The sequence below is a fragment of the Homo sapiens genome, chromosome 9 (genome assembly GCF_000001405.40).
Source record: "Homo sapiens chromosome 9, GRCh38.p14 Primary Assembly".
NCBI classification, from domain to species: domain Eukaryota; kingdom Metazoa; phylum Chordata; class Mammalia; order Primates; family Hominidae; genus Homo; species Homo sapiens.
The window spans coordinates 123,393,982-123,416,469 of record NC_000009.12 but is presented as its reverse complement, the minus strand read 5'-3'; the positions used below and the strand labels follow the sequence as shown (position 1 = coordinate 123,416,469).

General features: G+C 52.6%; 1 protein-coding gene and 1 non-coding gene across 41 annotated transcripts in view, besides 2 other annotated features; both read left to right on the top strand.

The window, feature by feature from the left end:
* Positions 1–22,488, top strand: part of DENND1A (DENN domain containing 1A) — a 550,469-nt gene that overhangs the window by 513,657 nt on the left and 14,324 nt on the right. For 14 of the 40 annotated variants that reach the window (NM_001352965.2, XM_047423624.1, XM_047423622.1 and 11 more), the window contains one exon: positions 12,980–13,068. In NM_001352965.2, the coding sequence (NP_001339894.1) occupies positions 12,980–13,068 (89 nt within the window). Of the gene's footprint in view, positions 1–1,881; positions 3,200–4,640; positions 4,695–12,979; positions 13,069–14,557; positions 16,375–22,488 lie in introns of those variants that run through there. The other 26 variants (XM_024447622.2, XM_024447621.2, XM_047423618.1 and 23 more) reach the window with 6 other exon arrangements.
* Positions 13,243–13,864: an enhancer, noted in NCBI's record as "H3K4me1 hESC enhancer chr9:126164885-126165506 (GRCh37/hg19 assembly coordinates)". NCBI's record gives its function as "activates a minimal SCP1, AML or CMV promoter by ChIP-STARR-seq in primed H9 embryonic stem cells {active_cell/tissue: H9 hESC(primed)}" and the evidence as "EXISTENCE:reporter gene assay evidence [ECO:0000049][PMID:30033119]".
* MIR601 (microRNA 601) lies at positions 13,867–13,945 on the top strand. Its single transcript, NR_030332.1, has one exon. It is a non-coding gene; the product is annotated as a microRNA 601 (primary transcript).
* Positions 18,045–18,545: an enhancer, noted in NCBI's record as "H3K4me1 hESC enhancer chr9:126160204-126160704 (GRCh37/hg19 assembly coordinates)". NCBI's record gives its function as "activates a minimal SCP1, AML or CMV promoter by ChIP-STARR-seq in primed H9 embryonic stem cells {active_cell/tissue: H9 hESC(primed)}" and the evidence as "EXISTENCE:reporter gene assay evidence [ECO:0000049][PMID:30033119]".

The following is a 22,488-nucleotide window of genomic DNA, read 5'->3' as shown; positions in this document are numbered from 1 at the left end:
CTACTTTAAAGCTCTTCCAGTTTTACCTTCCTTTCCTTCAGCGGTGGAAAGAGCACTCAAGCGGTCAGCGGTCAAGAGGCCTTCCCGATGACAACCAACACTCCCAGCTCTGCCCATTACCAGCTGGGGGTGTTGAGCAGCTCGCTTTACCTCCCTCCAATCTGTTCCCTTTTCCATGGCCACTAGGACACTTAGCAAGGGCAGGAGCACCAGCGTGAAAGAGGAGCAGGCTCAGGGGCCCAGCCCTGGGCTGTGGGCTGGGGATGCAGACAACCAGAGCTGAGTCAGATGGGAGAGGAACCACTCCAGGTTCAGAATAACTTTCACTGAGTCCTGGCCAGCTCTGCCGTCCTCTCGGGCCTCACACCAACCACACTGTTGTAGTCCCTACATTCAGCTAGTGCTGGCTTCAGCTTCTAGAGCACCGGGGCCACTCTCTGGAAGAGAGCATGCTTTTCTGAGTTGATCCTTTCCTAGCTCATCCCCTTACCCCCTCTTCCCACCCAAATCACTACTACTCACCTCCTACAGTGTTTAATGGTCTCCAGACTACTCTTCCCCATCTGTGTCCCCAGCTGGGGACACCCCAGCTTATTTGGGAAACTGCAACCACCATGGCCGATGGCCCCACCACGCCCTGTCTAGGAAGCAGAGGCCTCCCCAGCAGCGTGTCCACTGTGCCCCTGGCCCTGCGTGAAGTGCCATCAGATGCCCCGCATCCCTGCAGCAGGGCCCTCGTGACTGGCCTCACAGATGAGGACACAGAGGCCCAGGGAAGTCACTTGCTTGCCAAAGTCACTCAGCAAACCAGCTAGGCCTGGAGACCCTGCGGTGGGAGCAGGAGGGCCCTGCACACAATCAGATGTTCTAGTGTCCGAAATCTGAGACTGCTTCCCACGGGATTACTGTCTAATCCGCTGGTGACAATCCAGCTGCTCACCTGTCCCCAGCCTCAGCTCTGGTCCCCAGGGCCTGCACACTCCTGGCAGGGCATCCTGATAATTAGTGCAGCCCTCCCCTTCTTCCTCTCCCCAGCCCCAGGGTGGAGGGTCTTCAATGCGCACCCCCTGGGAGTTCACCTTTCTCTTCCTGGCGGCCACCCCACAGGAGGTGTCCCCATCATATGCTCCAGCATCATAACAAGCCCAGGGTCGGTGAGTGCAGCCCCCGTCCCTGTGTGTTTCCTCTGGTGACAGGATCCCCTCGTGCCGACAACCCGCAGGGAAAACTCCCCGAGTGTCAGAAGGGGCAATGTGGCTTCCTGTTCTTGGTTGCCGTTGTTGGGTTTTATCTGACTGGGTGCGCCAGGACATCTGTACCACGTTACTCTTTCTTGGCATCTTTATATCCCGCTGGCTCACTCTGCTAACTTTTAGAATGGGTGTGGTCAAGAGGCTGCTTTCTTCCCACCATTTATCAATTCAGTTGCAAAACAGCCAGCACTTCCCGAGGACAAGCAAAAGAAAATGAGTTAATTGAAGAATCTGGAGAATTGACATTTGGTGTGTTTTTACATGTGCCAGGAAGTTTAAGCCAAAAGTAATTTGCTGAGCACCTATTAGGTATCAAGTACTCTACTAGACCCTATGGTAAACAGAGAAGTGAGTGAGCTGATAACGACAGCCGGTGTGCTGTGGATGTGAGGCGGGGTTTTACCAGAGATGAGATTGCGGAGGTGGATGGCGGGGCCCTGAATCTGGAGGGCTTTGAACACTTCAGACAGCATTTTCCAGGGGATATTCATGGGTGGTATAGGGAAAGCAAGTCTATGTTCAAATAAACTTGGGAAATAGGACTTTTTAAAAAAGAGTTAATAGGTTTTTGCCTGGTTTGGGTGGGTTTTTTTCTTGCAAGACTCACCAGCCTTTGCTATGCTAACAGGCGTTGTGAATCCCCAAAAGGAGCAAGACAGAAGACAGCATTTCTCAGATTTGCCTGGCTGGGGAACCTCCTTTTTTCCCTTCACACAATGCGTCTCCCAGGATGGTGTTTCTCAGCAGACACCCTGTGAGATGCCGGCCTTCCACTGAGATGATTTCATCTGCCAAGTGCCAAGACTGGGTGGACATTTTTTTAAGTCCTCTCTGGAAACAAATGTAGGCGATGGACTGGGAGGGGGAGAGGCTGGAGGCAGGGAAACCTGCTGATGGTAATGGTTGCTAATGTCTGTTGGTGGCACTGTGCAAAGAACCTGACGTCCATCATCTCGTTGAATCTTCCTAACAGGACACTCGGGTAGGCAGTGCTGTTACCTGTACTTCACAGATGAGGACAGTAAGGCTTGGAATGGTCAAATCGTGGGCCTGGAGTAACCCAGGGAGTAAATGGGAGAACTGGGGTTCTCTCCAAAACTGTCTGACCCCTAGAGGCTGCCTCCCGAGCGCTCTGGTGCACTGCCACCCAGCAGGAATGGAAATAGCCCAAGCCAGAGGTGACAAGCAGTGAAGACAGTGGGGCTGGAGAAGATGGTTCCCCCGAAGTAGAAAGGCCAAGCATAAGAGAAGCAGTATTGTGGGGAGTGGTGTAGGAGAGCTGGGTGTCTAGACAGGGTAGCAGCCTGTGCACCGGTGGAGGGGGTGGGCTCCCCTCTCCCTGATCACCTCTTCCTCTTGATGAATGGTGTGAATTGAGGGGTGGGGGGGCTGTTCCCCTTTCCCCCACACACTTCCTGTAAGCCAGGAAGGGGAAAAAACATGGTGGCCTTGCCCATCCCTAGGCAGCACCCCCAACTCCCGGGTAGCTGTCAGCTGAAGGGTCACCAAGCATGGGTCAGCCCTCACGCCCAGCTAATGGCATAGGATCTGGGAAGCCACGGTGTCATTCTATCCCATCGTGTTCTCCATGTGCCGCCAGGGAACCCTCCACCAAGTCCCTGGACCCGCTTTCCCCTCAGGCTGCCCCGACAGGTTCCATGCAGAGCACCAGGGACCCAGGGACAACTGGGACACAGGCCCTGCCCTCCAGGAGTAGTGGGGCAGGTTCAGAAAACAAATTCTAAGGCAGATTTGAGATCTGAAGTGTCACTCCCACTCAGTAGAGCCCTATATCAGCACTGTCCAAGAAAAACATAATGGGAGCTTCATACGGGAGTCACATGTGGAATTCTGAATGTGAAACATAAACAGGTGAAATTGATTTTAATATAATGAACCCAATATATCCAAAATATTATTTCAACATGTAATCAATCTAAAAATTATTACTGAGGCGTCTGACATTCTTTCCTCGTGCCGAGTCTCTGAAGTCCAGTGTTTTGCACTTATAGCACGTGTTTTTTGGTTTTGTTTTGAGACAGTCTCACTCTGTCGCCCAGGCTGGATTGCAATGGCACGATCTTGGCTCACTGCAACCTCCGCCTTCCGGGTTCAAGCAATTCTTCTGTCCTAGCCTCCCGAGTACGTGGGATTACAGGCATGTGCCATCATGCCCGGCTAATTTTTGTATTTTTGTATAGATGGGGGTTTCACCATGTTGGCCAGGCTGGTCTCGAACTCCTGACCTCAGGTGGTCCGCCCACCTTGGCCTCCCAAAGTGCTGGGATTTAGAGCACATCTTAACGTGGACCAGACACATGGGACATTGGCTCCCCTTTTGGCTGGGGCAAGTCTGGATTTGGTCCAGTTAGATGTATCTTTGTGACCTGAGTGACGGAATGGGCAGGAAACAACCGGAAGCCTCCCGGGGATTGCTGTGGGTCCGCGGCCTGGGTCTCGCGTGAATTTTTACTTTCCTTACTCAGCCTCCCTGTCTCCCATGCCTGCGAGAGCATCAAGACAGGCAGGCTGTTGAAAGGACACTGCTGGGCGTTCAAGATAAAGGGTTTGAGGGGAGAGCTGAGAAGTCTGTGCTCTACTGGTTTTGATTCAAATCCTGATTTCAAAAGCCAATCATTTTGGACAAATTTTATTTGTTCATCAGACGCTTGTTGAGCAGATTTTTTCCCCAGGTCTCACAGAGCCTGCAGGCATAGGGATGAACCCCCTTGGAGATAGACCTGTAAGAGGTCCCGTGGGGGCAGGGGTGAGGGATCCCACGCTGAGTCCCACATAGCAGGAGGCACGAGGCAGCATCCGAGCCGACAGAGCTCTTGAAGGACAGGCACACGTTTGGCAGGCCAGTCCAGCCGGAGCAGCCCATTCCACCCGGAGGGTGGGTGGCAAACAAGGCATGAGAGCCCAGTGCTACTTAAAGGATCTGCCCAGGGCAGGCATGGGTGAAGGTTGAGAAAGGTCTGTGTGGGGCACAGTGGAGTCCCGGTCTTGGGGGACATGCAGTGCCAGCCTCTAGCCTTGAGCAGGCGCCCAAGGACAGGAGGGGGCATGAGAGGTCTGGAGAGGGGGTGGGCTCGCCCTATTGCACCTGGGAAGGGCCCCCAGCCTGTGTGGAGCATGGTGGAGGGCGGAGCTGGGAGCCCTGTTGGGAGATGATTGCAGTAACCCAGGCTGGAGACAAGGTTAGAAGGAAAGAATGAGCAGAGGAGACGGCCTCAAAAGGTGGACAGTGGGGGCGAGGCAGGAGGCGTCGAGGTTGGCCCTCTGGCTCTGGCTTAGGTGACTGGGTGCCTTCCTCCAGGCCGTGTGTGGAAATGCATTGAGCCTTCTCAGTGTGTCCTGATGTTGTAAGTTTCCACTTTAATGCAGCTGCAGAGACTGCGTCCCACCCGACCGCCTCCCAAGATACAGCGCTCGAGGCCCGTGAGTAGCTGGTGGTTCTGCCCTCCCCACCTAACACTGCCTGAGCCATTCTCCCTCAGCCTGACTAAACCTCCAGAGTTTGGACCCTCCTGCCTGGCAAAAGAAAACTGGGAATTGGGTTTTTCAGCTTCCCTCTCTGTGTGGCATGAACTTGAGCTTGCATTCTCTGGGCTTCTCTTGCTTTTTCGTGAATAAGTTTGGTGACTTGCAGATCAGAGCCATAGGTAGCAAGGGGGCCACTGTGTGCTGCGTGTGCTGCGTGTGCATTATTTGAGCAAGTCTCCTAGGGTGAGCAATGGGTTGGAAGCCTTCCTCCAGACGCCTGTTCCTCACAAACGAAGCAGAAGTCCGGGGGCAAGGGTCTCGTTCCCGCCAGATCTTGGTCTGGAGATGCATTTGTACCTTCCCAGGGGTGGAGGCTATGTCCAGGGAGTATGGAGCCAGCTCATATGGATACAGGTACCGCTGCCCTGCCAGGCCTTCCTTGGAGATCCACTTTCCCATGTTAAGTGCCAAGTAAGGGGCGTGGTGGTGCATGCCTGTAGTCCTAGCTACTCAGGAGGCTAAGATGGGAGGATCACTTGAGCCCAGGAGGCTGAGGCTACAGTGAGCTATGATTGCACCACTGCACTCCAGCCTGGGTGACAGAGCAAGACCCTGTCTCTTAAAAGAAAAAAAAAAAAAAACCAAGTAAGGATGGAGAAGCAGGACAAAATGTGATAAACCCACCACCACCTGGGAATGGGGTGGGAGGGCGAGAGAGATCCGTCCATGGAAAAATATGGGGTCTGGGTCCCGTGTTAAGCATCAGTGGAGTCGTTTTCCTTGGTAGGTCAGACTCCGGCCATGCTGAGGCATGCGAACTTTAGCAGGTGCTTTGAAAGTGGGAAACCATCCAGGACCTTTCGATGGGGGCTGTTTACCAAGGGAAAAGTTTCTCCATCTACCATTCAGTGTGGCCACCACTCTGTGGCCAACCAAAGAGTACCCCACAACCCAGTGTCCTAGTCCTCCCGCCCTCTGCAACACACGTGTCCAAATCCATCTTGTGAAGGCAAAGAGGCCGGGGCCTGCAGGTGACCAGGTGAACTGTGTCTGTTCACCTGGGGAGATGCACCCAGCATCCACTGGGTAGCTGCTCTCTGGGTGGGTGTTGGCCATTCTGTGGCACAGTTTTCCTTCCCTTCCCTTCCCCGCTGTGGGTGGGAATTAGAGGGCTAGATGGGAGGCTGGGAGGACTTAGATGCCTTCCCCTGTGACCGTCGCGAGTCCACACTCCCAGCCACACGTGACCGTGGATCCATCCCGTATCTCCATCAAACTGTGGTTGGCCCAAACCCCCCATCGACACAGCTGGCAAGGAGCTAGAATATGTCTGCTCACTGTCACTGGAAAGAAGACACAAGCAGCAAAAAGAAACTGCTTTGGGGGACAGGAGGCCCCTTCTAGGCTGAACCTTGTGTGACTAGTGAGAGTTTCAGTACAGATTTGGGGGGCCGACAGAGCTAGGCTTGAATGCTGAAGTCATGTCACTCTGGCAAGCACTGAAGCTCTCTGAGTCTGATTTCACCTCCGGGGCTGTGCCCTCATTCCTAGAGGGGTTTTGTGAGAAGGAAAGTGGATGACATTTGTCATTTGCAGAACACACACAGTAAGAGTTTTTTTTTGTTTGTTTGTTTGTTTTGAGATGGAGTCTTACTCTGTCATTCAGGCTGGAGTGCAGTGGTGCAATCTCAGCTCACTGCAGGCTCCGCCTCCTGGATTCACACCATTTTCCTGCCTCAGCCTCCTGAGTAGCTGGGACAACAGGTGCCCGCCACCATGCACGGCTAATTTTTTTCTATTTTTAATAGAGACGGGGTTTCACTGTGTTAGCCAGAATGGTCTCGATCTCCTGACCTTGTGATCCGCCCGCCTCAGCCTCCCAAAGTGCTGGGATTACAGACGTGAGCCACCGCACCCGGCCAACGGTTCTTATTCTTAACAGGTTTTTGCATATTACAGCTTCTAAGGAATGGCCCAGTTTATTAATAACCATCACTTGCCTAGGATTTTATAGTCAGCAAATCATTCTTAGGTACCTCATCCCAGCTGCGCCTCACAGTCGCTCAGTGAAGTAGGCATTGTCACCAGTTTAGCAATGAGAAAACTGATGCTTGGTAACTTAACCCAGGTTCCTCAACTGCAAATAAGGTCATCTGGACTCTAGAACCTGTGGTCTTGCCAGTATTCCAAGCTCTCTGGACCCTCCGTCTTCTGCTTGGGACCAGAATAGTTTCAGCTTTCAGTTTGTTTCGGATTTTAGAATATTTGCGTGATACTTCCTGGTTGTGTGCCCCTAATCCAAAATCCAGAATACTCCAGTGAGCATTTCCTTTAGCATCATGTTGGGGCTCAAAAAGTCTTGGATTTTGGGGTGTTTCAGATCTCGGATTTTCAGATTAGGGATGCTCAACCTATATAAAATGCTGCGGGAAGAAAAAAAATTCAGTCAAGAAAAAAATGAATCAGTAGCAGCTGAACTGTCTGTGGAATCTCCAGTGCCATGTTAGGTCTGGCAGAGACACAGAGGAGAAGAGAATTAATATTCATTGAGCACCTTTTATGGTGCCTAGGACTGTGCTAGGCACTTGTGTAATTATTGTCTCATTTGTCCAGCCCAGAGCAGGCAGATGCCATCTCCCTAATTTGTAGCCAACACCACAGGGATGATGACAGGCCTGATGATAAGTCCTGCCTTTGAGCCCAGCTTGCCTCTCTCCACTGTCTCTCTTTGTTTTCTACCAAACAGCCTCCCCTTAAGCCAAAGTCAGCAGCAGGTAGCTCTCAGAATTCCCCTTCGAGGCTTGGGATCCAAGGCGGGCAGGGAATCTTGGAAGCCATGATTCAGGGAAGGATCATTCCCCTTGGAAAAATTCAAGTATTGGAGACAGCTACAGTGGACTCTGTGTTGTCTCACTGGTGTGGGGATCTGTGCAGATTGCGGGGTGGGCTGCCACATCCATTGGCAACTGAGGACTCGGGAGACAGACGCTGTGAGAGACACGGAGTAGCAGCTGCCTCAGGCGCTGAGCTAATGCAGGAGGTGACTAGCCTGGCGCTAGCTTTGGCTGGACCTCCTGGGTTGATGGCATGCTGAAGAGGCAGGATGCCTAGGAGAACCAGCTCTCCTAGGCTTGGAAGTCAGAGAGGCCTGCCCTGGTTTGAATTACAGCTTGGCCACTTCCTGGCTGTGCGACCTTAGGCAGGATCCTCACCTCTGAGCATTAGTTTCATCATCTGTAAAATGGGTTTAACAATACCACCTGGTAAAGGTAATGAGGTTGTGTATGTATAGCACCTAGCACAGTCCCTGGCATGTCCCCCGAACTTACACTGCCAAGCATCACCACTAAGAGGCCAATTTGGGAGTCATAGAAGATTTGTGCTTTCTGGGCCCCTAAGGACCATTTATTCTAAATGCATTTATGCAAGCATTTCCAGTGGACACTGCTACAGACTAGGTGGGAACCGGGGAGACTCGGCATATGGAACCCACAAGGGCCTCGAAGAGAACAGCCTACCAAGCTCCCATGTCAGGAGCCATCAGCCTCCAGTGTGGCTTTGCTGGGTCACGTAGCCACAAACTTTCCAGACAGAAGTGCAGCCGTTGGCCCAGGGTAGCAGGGGCTGGGGAGGGTCTAGCCATTCAGCCTTTCTGGAAGGAGCTTTGTAGCCTGGCACCTGTGGCTGGAGTTCAGATGTTACCCGAAGATTTGGGTTTTCTTTTTAAAAAGAAGAAAAAAGAAAGAGCAGAAGAAAACCATGCCAGTGTCTCCTGGACGAAGGGGCATGGGTTGGGGCCTGCCAGGGAAAGGCAGGCTGCCGTCGGCCTGCGTGTGAAGCACTTTATAAGCTCTGTATTTATTATTTCTTGCTCACCATTAAAATCAAATGTACTCAGTGCTTTTGTATTCAATACACATTTAACCCTGCCGACTTAGATTTCTCAGGTTTTAAATCCAGTGGGGAATTGGCTGGCTTCCCAAGTTTCCCCTCCAGTCCCCCTTGAACAGAGCTGGAAATCTCTGTTTAGCATTTTCTCCCCGGACGCGGCTGGGATCCTCACACCGGTGGGGCCAGTCACTGTTGTGTGTGCCTGTGGGTTTCTTCCTTCATCACCAGTACCCACCCTTCCTAAGCACCCCCGAAACATGGGTGTGATCGCTGAAATATGACAAGACTTGTCTGCATCGTCTGTGATTCGGGCTTCATTAAACCGTTTTGTCTGTGTGTGTCTGTGCCTGGTTGTGGTCTGCCACCGTGTGTGTGTGAGGGGGTGTGTGTGTGAGTGTGTGAGTCATACGTGTGCCTTCACCTCTTGCGCGTGCCTCTGTGAGTGTGTATTTGTGAGATAGTGTGTACACGGAAGTCTGGAGGCCTCGATGTATCTCGGGATGGTCAGGTCTGTGAGTGTAATTTTGTGTCTGGCTTTGTCCACACTAGTCAGGTGTGTGTGACTCTGGGTGGGTCGGCAGCCATGCTGGTGACCAACCGCCTCTGGGTCTGGCGTGTCTTTCTCTCCCTCCCCAGCCTCCGAGGCTCCAGCTCCGTGCTCCCCACCCCCCCGCCCCTCCCCCCCTGCTCTGTCTGTTTTATCATCCCTAATGAAGCAGTCTCCTCCACCGATCCCGCTGATTGCCAACCCATTCCTTTTGTTTGTTGGCGCTGAGCCATTCAGCGGCACTCTGACAGCTCAGCTCGTCTAATTAGCTCTGTTGTTCTTTTTCCCCATGTTTCACCACGTTGCAAGTTCAGTTGAAGTTGCCACAAACTTAATCCCCCCATTTCAGCCACAAGTTCACATTCTTAACCCGCCTTTATTGTAGCAAGGAGCAGCCCTGTGCAAGGATGAGCTGACAGGCCTTAAAGTCTGACCTTTCCTGAAAGCTCTGCCCCGGGGCCCCGCGGGGCAGGGGCAGAACTGCTCCTTCACCCTACCCACACTCCTGCTTTTGTGGGCAGAAGTTGGGGGTGGGGATCATTCCAGCCAGGTGACCCTGTTGACCAGCTGCCAGAGCTGGGGAAACCAGTGCAGAGTCAGAAGGGGTGCAGGGATACCCACTTGTTTATTCAGCACGTGTTGACTGAATGTGAGCTGTGTGGCAGGCCCAGCTCTAATCACGATGATACTCGCAGCGTCATTATGCACTTCTCAGATTCCGAGCAGCAACATTCATTCGTTTCTAAAAATCTTGCTGAGCAACCATGACATACCAGGCAGTCCACAGAATGCGAGGCAGGGGTAAGAGAATCCTAAAACTCATCTTCTAATTCAGAGACACCCACTCATCGTCTTCCTTTTGTTGTTGACAAGAAGGGACATCCAGGTCACAGAGGAGCAGGATGAGCATTTATTGAGCCCCCATTGTGTACCAGACCCCTTGGGGGGACTTTCCCTGTATCCGGGCTTCACAATCACCCCACAGATGAAGACAGCCAGTTTGGTGGAATGCCTTTGGTGTTTACCACATCCCTGATATGCCAAACCTGTCTGAGATCAGACTGGCCACTCCACAGGAAAAACTTTGGTTAGATCAGACGTGCGCAGACCTGAGGGCTTGACAAGACTCTGTAAAGACTTGTCTTTTATGCAGCCAGCTTCTATCATCTGTGTCCCTAAGCCACCGTGCCGTGTCACCCACAAGCTTCTGGGGGGTGGGGGGTACGATGTTCAGGAAAAAGGGTGGGCAGGAAGTGGAGTGTGTGCCTGCTTCCCTTCCCTGTCTTGTCCTGGAAACTCAAAGGGTGGGCAGGAAGTGGAGTGTGTGCCTGCTTCCCTTCCCTGTCTTGTCCTGGAAACTCAAAGGGTGGGCAGGAGGTGGAGTGTGTGCCTGCTTCCCTTCCCTGTCTTGTCCTGGAAACTCAAAGGGTGGGCAGGAAGTGGAGTGTGTGCCTGCTTCCCTTCCCTGTCTTGTCCTGGAAACTCAAAGGGTGGGCAGGAAGTGGAGTGTGTGCCTGCTTCCCTTCCCTGTCTTGTCCTGGAAACTCAAAGGGTGGGCAGGAAGTGGAGTGTGTGCCTGCTTCCCTTCCCTGTCTTGTCCTGGAAACTCAAAGGGTGGGCAGGAGGTGGAGTGTGTGCCTGCTCCCTTCCCTGTCTTGTCCTGGAAACTCAAAGGGTGGGCAGGAGGTGGAGTGTGTGCCTGCTTCCCTTCCCTGTCTTGTCCTGGAAACTCAAAGGGTGGGCAGGAAGTGCAGTGTGTGCCTGCTTCCCTTCCCTGTCTTGTCCTGGAAACTCAAAGGGTGGGCAGGAAGTGGAGTGTGTGCCTGCTTCCCTTCCCTGTCTTGTCCTGGAAACTCAAAGGGTGGGCAGGAAGTGGAGTGTGTGCCTGCTTCCCTTCCCTGTCTTGTCCTGGAAACTCAAAGGGTGGGCAGGAAGTGGAGTGTGTGCCTGCTTCCCTTCCCTGTCTTGTCCTGGAAACTCAAAGGGTGGGCAGGAAGTGGAGTGTGTGCCTGCTTCCCTTCCCTGTCTTGTCCTGGAAACTCAAAGGGTGGGCAGGAGGTGGAGTGTGTGCCTGCTTCCCTTCCCTGTCTTGTCCTGGAAACTCAAAGGGTGGGCAGGAGGTGGAGTGTGTGCCTGCTTCCCTTCCCTGTCTTGTCCTGGAAACTCAAAGGGTGGGCAGGAAGTGGAGTGTGTGCCTGCTTCCCTTCCCTGTCTTGTCCTGGAAACTCAAAGGGTGGGCAGGAAGTGGAGTGTGTGCCTGCTTCCCTTCCCTGTCTTGTCCTGGAAACTCAAAGGGTGGGCAGGAAGTGGAGTGTGTGCCTGCTTCCCTTCCCTGTCTTGTCCTGGAAACTCAAAGGGTAGGCAGGAAGTGGAGTGTGTGCCTGCTTCCCTTCCCTGTCTTGTCCTGGAAACTCAAAGGGTGGGCAGGAAGTGGAGTGTGTGCCTGCTTCCCTTCCCTGTCTTGTCCTGGAAACTCAAAGGGTGGGCAGGAAGTGGAGTGTGTGCCTGCTTCCCTTCCCTGTCTTGTCCTGGAAACTCAAAGGGTGGGCAGGAAGTGGAGTGTGTGCCTGCTTCCCTTCCCTGTCTTGTCCTGGAAACTCAAAGGGTGGGCAGGAAGTGGAGTGTGTGCCTGCTTCCCTTCCCTGTCTTGTCCTGGAAACTCAAAGGGTGGGCAGGAGGTGGAGTGTGTGCCTGCTTCCCTTCCCTGTCTTGTCCTGGAAACTCAAAGGGTGGGCAGGAGGTGGAGTGTGTGCCTGCTTCCCTTCCCTGTCTTGTCCTGGAAACTCAGCAGTTGTGGCATCCCATCCGTGGAGAAAGCAAGCCCCCTGCCCCGGCAGGCTCGGTTGTTTTTATCAGCAATGAAATTCAGAGATAGACTTTCTCAGCTTAGCTCTCAACCCATCCCTCTCGGGCACTGGGAGTGTACAGAGATGGCCATGCCAAATTTAAAGCCATGTAATGTCGACTGGACCAAATGAGTATCCTTCTAAGGGCACCTAGAAATTCTCAGCCTAACATCCATCACGAACTCTGGCAGGGGATGAGGGTGTCTTTCTCTGTGGGCCCTCATGTTCGCTTTCAGAGACAGCGGGTCAGAAAAACCCATCCCGCTGCTGCAGCAGCTGTGGGGTTAGGAAGTTGGGTCCTTCCTGATGTGCCCACTGCAGACCCTCCCACTAGGTCTGCTCAGTGCATGTAGCTACACAAGATGGGCAGCATCCAGGCTGAACCCTGCTGGGAGGACTAGCACAGGGATGCTCTGGGAAGCAGAAAGACGATTTGTAGTGGCACTCTCTCATGCCTCTCTTATTTAGAGAGGAAAATAAGCACCCTGTGATTCTGTTGTAAAAAGAGCAAACTAAGCATGTTCACCCTAAAAACAAGTGTAAGCGCAACCTTTTCTTTCTACAAAACCAGCTTCTGGGCATCAGAGGAAGATGAGAGGGAATTGTCATTGATAAGGGCCTCTTTGTTCCGGGTCCTATGTAGACATCATCTCATTGGACCCTCACCACAGCCCTGCAAGGAGGCCAATGGAACTATCCTCATCTTGCAGATGAAGAAACCGAGCTTTCCAGGAGCACCCTTCTGATTTGAATAGGCCACAGAATTCCAGTTAATGTGTCTGTCTGCTGCCTATTAGATGGTGATGTTTCTGTGATAGGCTGGGCTTTTGTAGCCTGTAGCTTTGAAAATCCCTAAACGTTTTTTGGGGGGGCCGTTTATCCAAATGTTCAGAATGTACCTGTATGGCTTTTCCAACTCACTCCTTCTTGGGGCTCTCCCCCTGTACCTCCTCTAGGTGCGCCCACCTCGTCCACATGTTGTTAAGAGACCAAAGAGCAACATCGCAGTGGAAGGCCGGAGGACGTCTGTGCCGAGCCCTGAGCAGTGAGTATTGTGCCTCTCCCCTCTGTCTGTAAGAACCCTGTGTCTGCGGAGCCAGCACTTTGCGAAGCCCAAGCGTGTAGCCCCGGCCTTTGTGAGGCTTCCCCGGGGCTCCCAGCGGGTGTTTCACAAAGGGGTCATTCAGGGAACAGGACTTGATCTTTTACTCGGTCTGGTTGTCACACCAGTGGGAGGCCCCAGAGGCCAGGGAGCCGGGCACTTGGGCTGGATTTCGAGGGGTGGGGTCCAAAGCATACTTTGCTGGGTTCAGAAGAAGGTCCTAGGCCTCTTGTGCTGAAGATGCCGAGTCAGTAGGTGAGGGTTAGAACCTGGTGAAGGAGGCCAAGTGTTGAACTGGATCCACCCACCTTCCTAGGCCTCCATGGCCGAGAACCTATATACAGGACTGCCCTCATCCACTGCCCCAGACCCACCAGGACCCTTTGCCCACCTGTGCCGGAGGATTTATGTTACTGTGGTTTTTCTTACCCATCTCCCTGAGACGCGGAGCTCCCTGGGTGTTATGCCCAGCACCTCCCGTAGGACTGGCCTAGAGTCACCTGCTCAGGAGGCGTGGGGTAGATGAAGTGAATGAGGGGGGCAGAAAGACAAGCAGTGGACTGAAGTGGACCTGCCTGTGGTGGGGTGAGGCAGAAGGCTGCAGATAGCCCCGAGTCCAGACCAGAGCCATCTGCAGAAGGTAGCACTGCTTCCCTTTGTCCGCAAAAGGAGCACAGCCCTCAGTCTCTATCCAGACAACTCAGCGGCTACACGCTGACTTCCTGTGATGCCTTGAAAAAGTGCATGAGTTCGTCTTGGTCTAGGATTGTTGGAGGAGTCAGAAAAACTACCCCAGGGATCCTGAAGTCCTTTGGGTGGAAAGGGGGAGGCCCCCATGTCTGTCTGGCTCTCAGAAAATGGGAAAGAAGGTAAGGGACATGGCAGGTCCCAGTCAGAGTTGGAGCAAGAAGGAAAAAAAATGATTTCGAGCTGTCAAGCTGGGGCCTAACCCAAGTTGCAGTTCACTTCAGCTCTCCAGGATTTTCTGGTTGATAGCGAGGGTACGGTCTTTAAGGAACCAGCCCACCCAGACAGCCCTCAGACTTTGCCCAGAAAGTTCCAGAATTATATGTGTGCGTGCGTGTGTGTGTGTGTGTGTGTGCACGTGTGCGCTTGCACACAAGGATGCTCAGTTATTAGACATTTGGAAGAGAGGACTCCTGAAGCTGGGTTAAGTTTAACTTTTGCTCTGCACAATAGCCTGGTGGGAACATGAGGGATGGATTATGATTGCCCCCTTATGGAGAGAACGCTGCATGGCACCTGAGTGCCTCGGACTAAAGATTCCTCCTTAAGGGGATGAAATTTGTCACATTTCTTTGAAGTCCCCTCTTTAAAACTGGACTAAACCTTTTAGACACTGTACCAGGATACAGGGTCACAGGCCTGTTGATATTGAGATGTAAACCCAGAATATTCTTGCATTACACAGAAACACCATTGCAACACCAGCTACACTCCACATCCTACAGAAAAGCATTACCCATTTTGCGGCCAAGTTCCCGACGAGAGGCTGGACCTCTTCATCACATTGACTTACGCCGTTGCTTTTCCAGACTGGGCAGAGGGGCTGACTTCGCAGTGTGTGCCAAAGAGCCGGTGTCTGATAATCCCATTTTCCTGCTTATCACCTGAACTGTGTCAGTATCACTTTTAGTTTTGTTGGTTGGTTGGTTTGTTGTTTGTTTAATATGCCCTGTTTTCTACTTCTGTTGGAAAATATTTGGGGTTGAAATAAACCAGTGGGAGCATGGGAGCCAGTTTGGTGGTTGGCAAACTACCAGTGATAGAAAACAAATGACAGGTTTTCTGTGAGCGTACGTCACAGTGGCTCGGGCCCACAAGGAGACAGAGGGGTACGTTTCAGGACATCATTCCAAGGGTTTCTGTTCACGTTTGTTTAACGAGGAAGGGGAAGTTGTTCTCCCATAATACCAGTGGTATTTCTAGTGCAACCCGGGTGTTTTTCTACGCCTCTTCCCATGCTGCTTCCCCACCCCCCCACTGTGCTCCGCCCCTTCCAAATGCCATGTCACAACAGCACTTGGATGTGTTTTTCTCAACTGTCATCAGCTCCAGCTGGCAGGACCAACTTCTTGAAACACAGGAAGCATCCAGCGGAAAATATTTTAATAAAACAGACTCCTCATAAAATATTGTTCGGGGGAGGGGGAAGAAACCGGCTCCACCAATCTGTCGGCATTGTATTGGGAGATGTGAGAAGCCAGGCTGGCAGCAGGGGCCCGATCCTAATGGGCCTTTGTCAGGTGGTGGTTCCGTGTTGGGCACACGGACTTGGTGCCTGGCCCTTTAATCTGGCCTGGGTTTTCTTGAATCACAGATCTTCATCTCCACTGGGAATATCAAAGTGCTTGGGAAACTTAGAAGACTGGGGCAGCAGAAGGGGATGCAGGATCTTTGAAGTGGAGAGGAGAGATTCATTCCTCCTGACTTCTTGCCCCAACTCTCACTTCCAATTGCACATTAAATAATCCCAGCACTTTGGGAGGCCAAGGCGAGCGGATCACCTGAGGTCAGGGGTTCGAGACCAGCCTGGGCAACATGGCGAAACCCCGTCTCTACTAAAAATACAAAAATTAGCCGAGTGTGGTGGCGCACCCCTGTAATTCCAGCTACTCGGGAGGCTGAGGCATGAGAATCACTTGAACCCAGGAGGCGGAGGCTGCCGTGAGCTGAGATCACACCACCACACTCCAGCCTGTGCAACAGAGTGAGACTCTGTCTCAAAAATAAAATAACCAGCTTTGTGGACAGCAAGATGGGGCTGATTAAGAGTAAGACTGTCTCCTGGAGTAGCTGAGCATCCTGGGACTCATCAGGGCCCAGAAACACTAGCCAGCCACTCTCTGGCCAGTCCACCCCTGAAGTTCATTTCTTCCTTCCCAGCTGATGTCCATCCCTCCATCATTCCATCTGTCCATTCGTGCATTCATTCATTCAGCAAGTATCTTTGAAAACCTACTAGGCGCAAGCACGGACGATTTTTTTAAAGGAGGCCTTAAAAGGGAGTCCCCATGCTGACTCTTGGTTGACTTGCATTTTCCCAAAATGAAATTTTCCTGTGTCAAATTTTCTTTCTGAATCAATGATAGGTTTCCTAGTCCCTTAAAACTGGCCGTTGGCAATTGGAAGAAGACTTTTTTGAAGATTTGTGGGGGAAACATTCCCTTTACTTTTCAGGTAACATTACTTGGTTAATATTCAGTTACTAAATCTCTTCAAGAAGTACTGGCTACTTCCATTACTATTCAGAGCACAGCTGATGTGACGCCCAGGGGCTTCCGTGGGGCAGGGATCGGGGTAGGAGGGATCCTGCATGAGAGGCTGTGGGTCAGACACCAGTCAGCAGGGGGCGCGGTGGAGCACCCATTGATTTCTAGGCCCTCTTGGGCTAGCATCGTTTCTTCCCGAGTGGGAGCTCAGGCCCAGAATGTGGATTTGACCAGTCTTCCCAAGGTCACCCAGTTGAAAAGTGGCCAGGCCAGCATTCAGAATTCTTGATTTCATTCTCTCCATGACATTCTGATGCTGTCCTTGGAACGGGGCCCTTCAGGGTTCATCTTTAGTCTGGCTTTGCCCAGAGAGACAGCTCCACATCCTAAAATGAGATGATGGCCTGCCCAGCAGGCCACCCTTCCTCTCTGGCTCCCTGAAGGCTGGAGTTGGGAACCGGATCTGTTCAGTCTTCTCACCGCCAAAGAAACCATGTGCACTGGTGCCTGAGTGTTTCTTCTTGGGGAAGGAAAGAGGAATGACATTCACCAACATCCCTTAAGGTTGTCAGAGGTATTAGCCGGGCATGGTGGCGTGTACCTGTAGTCCCAGCTAGTCGGGAGGCTGAGGCATGAGAATTGCATGAGCCCTGGGGAGTTGAAGGTTGCAGTGAGCTGAGATCATGACACTGCACACCACCCTGGGCCTCAGAGCGAGACCCTATCTCAAAAAATAAAATAAAAAAGATTGTCAAAGGTAGGTGGTAGCTTTCCCATTGAACAGACAGAAAAACTGAGGCTCAGAGAGACTTTCATAACTTGCCCAAGGTTTCTCAGGGCCAGAAAATGGTAGGATCGGCTGTCTGATGACAGAAGCCTGGTCCATTCTTCTCTACTCTCCAGGCTTTTTGTTAAGACCTAATTATCCTCACGTGCTTCTCTGACTGGTGGGGACGACGGCTACGGCAGTGAGCACAGTGAGGTTCACAGCTCCCCTCCTATTAAAAGCAGGCCACGGCCGGGCGCGGTGGCTCACACCTGTAATCCCAGCACCTTGGGAGGCCGAGGCGGGCGGGTCACTTGAGGTCAGGAGTTCAAGACCAGCCTGGCTAACATGGCGAAACCCCGTCTCTACTAAAAACACAAAAAATTAGCTGGGTGTGGTGATACATGCTTGTAATCCCAGTTACTAGGGAGGCTGAGGCAGGAGAATCGCTTGAACCTAGGAGGTGGAGCTTGCAGTGAGCCGAGATCACACCATTGCACTCCAGCCTGAGTAACAGAACGAGACTCTGTCTCCAAAAAAAAAAAAAAATGCTGTGTGGTGGTTTCCATGGGGTGCGCACAGCTGCGAGGCCCCAAGTTATCTTCCTTTTGGTCTGCCAGGTATAGGTAAATTGCCCATCCAACTGGGTGCTTAGAAAGAGCCAATGGTGGCCGGGCGCGGTGGCTCACGCCTGTTATCCCAGCACTTTGGGAGGCCGAGGCGGGCGGATCACGAGGTCAGGAGATCAAGACCATCCTGGCTAACACAGTGAAACCCCGTCTCTACTAAAAAAAATACAAAAAATTAGCCGGGCATGGTGGTGGATCCCTGTAGTCCCAGCTACTCAGGAGGCTGAGGCAGGAGAATGGCGTGAACCCGGGAGGTGGAGCTGGCAGTGAGCCGAGATCGCACCACTGCACTCTAGCCTGGGTGACAGAGTGAGACGCCGTCTCAAATAAAAAAGAAAAAGAAAAAAAAAAGCCAATGGCAGGCTCTGAAAGGCAGCACTGTGGTCTGAGCCGCCGGGCCCCTCATGATGGCACACTGTGTGCAGACTAAGGCCAAGGCAGGGAGTGACACACTGATCCCGGGGTGCATCTCTCTGCCAGGCAGCTAGTCATTTGTTCCCTGCTGGGAAGTGGCAGTAGGGGCTGGGGCACTGGCCCTCACAGAGTTGCTGAGAGTATGGAGGGAGATAATTACAGGCATCTGCCACCTGTTTAATCTTCACAGCCCAGATGTAGGGCTGTCTTCTGAGTCTTAAGGGTTAAGGGGCTTGCAGCTGGTTGTGGATCTGAGGTGCCCCTCCTGACAACCTGCATGCAGAGCCAAGTGCTTTCGACTGCACACCTTGTCTCCTAATGGGTGAGACACTGAACACTCTCCAGTCACACGAGGGTCTTGACTGGCTGCATCCTGGTTATTTGAAGTTCCACTGTACTAAGTAAGAAGGGTCCAAACTCAGCCACCAGGGCCCAGGGCTGCTGCCCAGCTCACTTCTCTGGCCAGATCCGTGCAAAATCTGCTCTTTTCAGGTAATTTTTGGTTTGTAAAAATTACCCGGTAGCCTGATAGACAATCTGGAATGTTAGGGAAAAGAGACAAATTCATTCTGAATCCCATTACTTTCATTCCACTACATATTAGCATTCCTGGAGATCCATGCCCAGTCTTTATCCTGCATGTCTTTTATAGAGCTGCAACTTCCTTGCAATATGCCAGCATGTGGACTTGTTCCGTGTGTCTCTGTAACCCCTATTGTCTGTGACTGCAGAGGATCTCATTGTGTGTATGCTCATGGTCTGCCTAACTATTGCCCTCATACTGGATCTTTAGATCCTTTCCAGGTTTTCATTAATATAAAAAATGCCAGGGTAAATATCCTTATTCTAGGCTGGGCACGGTGGCTCATGCTTGTATCCCAGTACTTTGGGAGGCCAAGGTGGGTGGATCACTTGAGGTCAGGAGTTCGACACCAGCCTGGCCAACATGGCAAAACTCCGTCTCTACTAAACATACAAAAATCAGCCGGTCTTGGTTGCACACACTTATAATCTCAGCTACTCGGAAGCCTGAGGCAGGAGAATCATTTGAACCCAGGAGGCAGAGTTTGCAGGGAACAGAGATCATGCCACTGCCCTCCAGCCTGGGCAACAGAGTGAGACTCTAAAAAAAAAGAAAAAGGAAACGGAATTATTGACAACTCCCATTAACTGGGAATGTGCTAAGCACTTTACATACACCATTTCATTGAATCCTCACAAGAAATATGTAGGGGGAGGTCTTATGAGATCTATTTTATAGAAATAGCTGAGACTTCAAGAGATTGTCACTGCCCTTGGTCACACAGCTAGTTAGTAGCAGACCTGAGCCTCAAACATGCCTTGTTAAGACCAAAAGCCTTTACCCTTAACCAGTTGTAAGAAGATTTCTGCTCCATATTGCTGTATAACTTTCTGAAGAATTGTACCACCTTATACCCTCACCAGAACTGGACTCCCGGACATCTGATTCTGAGGGACCCAGAGAAACATGTGACTGGCATTCAAACATGTGTCCGAATCCTTCTGGACAAGGAAAACTTCTGTAGGCCATGCTAGCTAGGTAGACAGTCTCTACCCCAAATGCCTGACCCTTGCTGCCTAGGAATTGGAGTGTCTGATCCTCTGAATTGCACTGCGTGACCCCAGCACCAAAGCCCCAGAAGATTAAAATAAGATCAGAAGAAGCTGCCAGAAGCATTTAGTGAGAAAACCCCGCCCGAAGCCCAGGTCTCAGAACACTTTGCAAGGGACTCTGGACACTCACACACATGCTCTGGCAAAAGCTGGCGTGCCGCTTGTGCACGTTCAACGGCCTTGCCCTCCTCGAGCCTAGACTCAGCATAGCCTCAGCAGATCAGTTGCTCCCAGCTGTGGATCACACAGGGGTAGAGCACTTTCCCTCCTGCACAGCCCCACTGCTGCCCTGGGGGCGTGGGCCCATCATTTGGATGGCGGCCTGGTGCATGGGCAGAGCTCTGGCATCCAACAGGCCTGAGTCAGCCTCCTGGCCCACCAGGCACCAGCCTGGAGGCTATGGGCATGTCTCCTGGTCCTCCTTTCTTAACATGATGCCTATTAACATCTCCAGGAGCGTGGCTGGGGAAAAGGCCCACAGTAGGCACTGGCATCCTGAGTGAGCAGAGCGCGTGGCCTCCCTCCTGGCCTTATCTCAGCACTCCGACACCCCAACACCTCCCCCACGAACCACCCACTCTCCTCCCTCCCACGCCCACAATCCCCTGTGCGTCTCCTGATCTGGCGGTGACCGGCCATGTTGTAGCTTTCTCTTTGTCTCACACGCGTGCACACACACACACACACACCAGGCACACCAGTAGTCTGTGAGCTCTTCCTCAGCTTTGACTCTCCAACTCCTGGACCACATCCGAGCCCAGACCTCTGCTCTGAGATGTTTCCTGGGTGAATGAACAAAGGAATCTGAAGGCAGAGTGCGGCTTGCAGTCAAGCACCTGGGAGGCGGGGTAGGGGCGTCCGGTAACAACCACAAACAGGTAAAGAGCACCTACTGTGTGCCAGGTGTGATTAGGACGTGCGTATGAAGCTGCCAGTGCATCCCCAGCCCTCTAAGAGCCAGGAACTGTGCTCAGCCCCAGGAGCAAGTCTCCAAGATGCCAGCTGGGCCCTCGGCCCCAGGGGGTAGGGGCAGCTGTCTGGGCTCTACCCCCTGGCAGGCTGCCAGGGCCCACTCCCTTAGCAGCCAGCTATCCAAACACATGAGCAGAAGGTCACAGACCCAATTAGCAGGGCTAGAGGCCTCTCACTCTCACTCTCTCTCTCTCTCTCTGTCACACACACACACACACACACACACAGAGAGAGAGAGTAGATTCTGGGCCCTGGAGACAAAACCAAGCCTAAAGCCAGCCGTGGAGCCTGAGCCTAAACTGGAAGAGCAGGAAGTGCCAAGAATACCTCACTTCTGCCCACCCAGGATCCCCCCAAGGATCTGCAGCAGCCCCGGAAGACACGGGACCCATTTGTCTGTCGCCTCTTCTGCCTGGCAAATCAGAGGGAAGGACTTTTCCCAGGAGCTGTCACCACAGGGAGTTAACTGGAAACCAAGCCTTGGGGATGCTTTAGGAACAGGGGCCTCATCCTCAAGACATGACTGATTTCAGTCACCCCTGAAAGGCTTTGCCTTCCCACCTAGCCCTCTGCCTCTTCCAGATGCCACATCGCCATTTCTCAACTGCCTGTTTTGTGCCCAGCAATTTCACACGTGTTGTCTTGGCTAAGCTCCCTGCTCCCCAAAAAATCTTCGCAGCCTGGGCATTCAGCCATGAGGGAGCCACGGCTGTAGCCAGTGGAATGACGTACCCTCAGTCCAGGATGTGCACCCGGGCAGCCAGGTCCCACAGCCACTACTTTCTTGCCCCCACCACTGCTCCCACAGTTCCCAGAACTCAGTCTCCAGATCTGGGCTCCAGGATGCAGAGGCTGTCCTCAGGGTGAGGGGCAGGTGTTCTGCACAGTGCCTCTTCCCTGCAGAGGAAAGTGCCCCCAAGGCATTCCCAGCCCCATCTTCCCTCCACCGCAGAGCCTGAAGCCCACATCCTGTGCTGGGGCCACTGCCTATGTGAGTGTCCAGCCAGTGGTCGTGGAAGGGCTTCTCGGGCATGCTGGGGCACGGGTATGGATGTGTGAAATTGGCATTCATGATTTTTGTTGAAAGAAGGAAGGAGTGAACCTACAGACTGAGAAGTAATCAAATAAATGCCCGAATAAAGGCTGAAGAAGCCAAGGGCATAACCCAAGAGAGGGGGATGGGCAGCCAGGCATGCTTCCTGCTTGACTGCAGCCACCCCAAGGCCTTGCACCACCCCCAGACTTGCACGTCACCTCTCATCCTTGCGCTGGCTCCAGGCCCTCCACGACCTGGTCCCTGCCAACCTCCAGCCTCTTCTCTTGAACTCCCCACCCGGACATGGAGTTCCCTGTGCCTGCCCCTCTCGGAGATGCCTCCAGGTCATTATGATCCTCTCCCATGCTCAGGATTAAAAGTCCAGCTCTGGCCAGGCGCTTTGGGAGGCCGAGGCGGATGGATTGCCTAAGTTTAGGAGTTCAAGACCAGCCTAGGCAACATGGTGAAACCCCATCTCTACTAAAATAAAAAATAAAAAAAATAGCCAGGCATGGTAGCACATGCCTATAGTCCCAGCTACTCTGGAGGCTGAGGCAGGAGAATCGCTTGAACACATGAGGCGGAGGTTGCAGTGAGCCGAGATTGTGCCACTGCACTCCAGCCTGGGCAACAGAGTGAGACTCCGTCTCAAAAAAAAAAAAAGTCTGGCTCCCACAT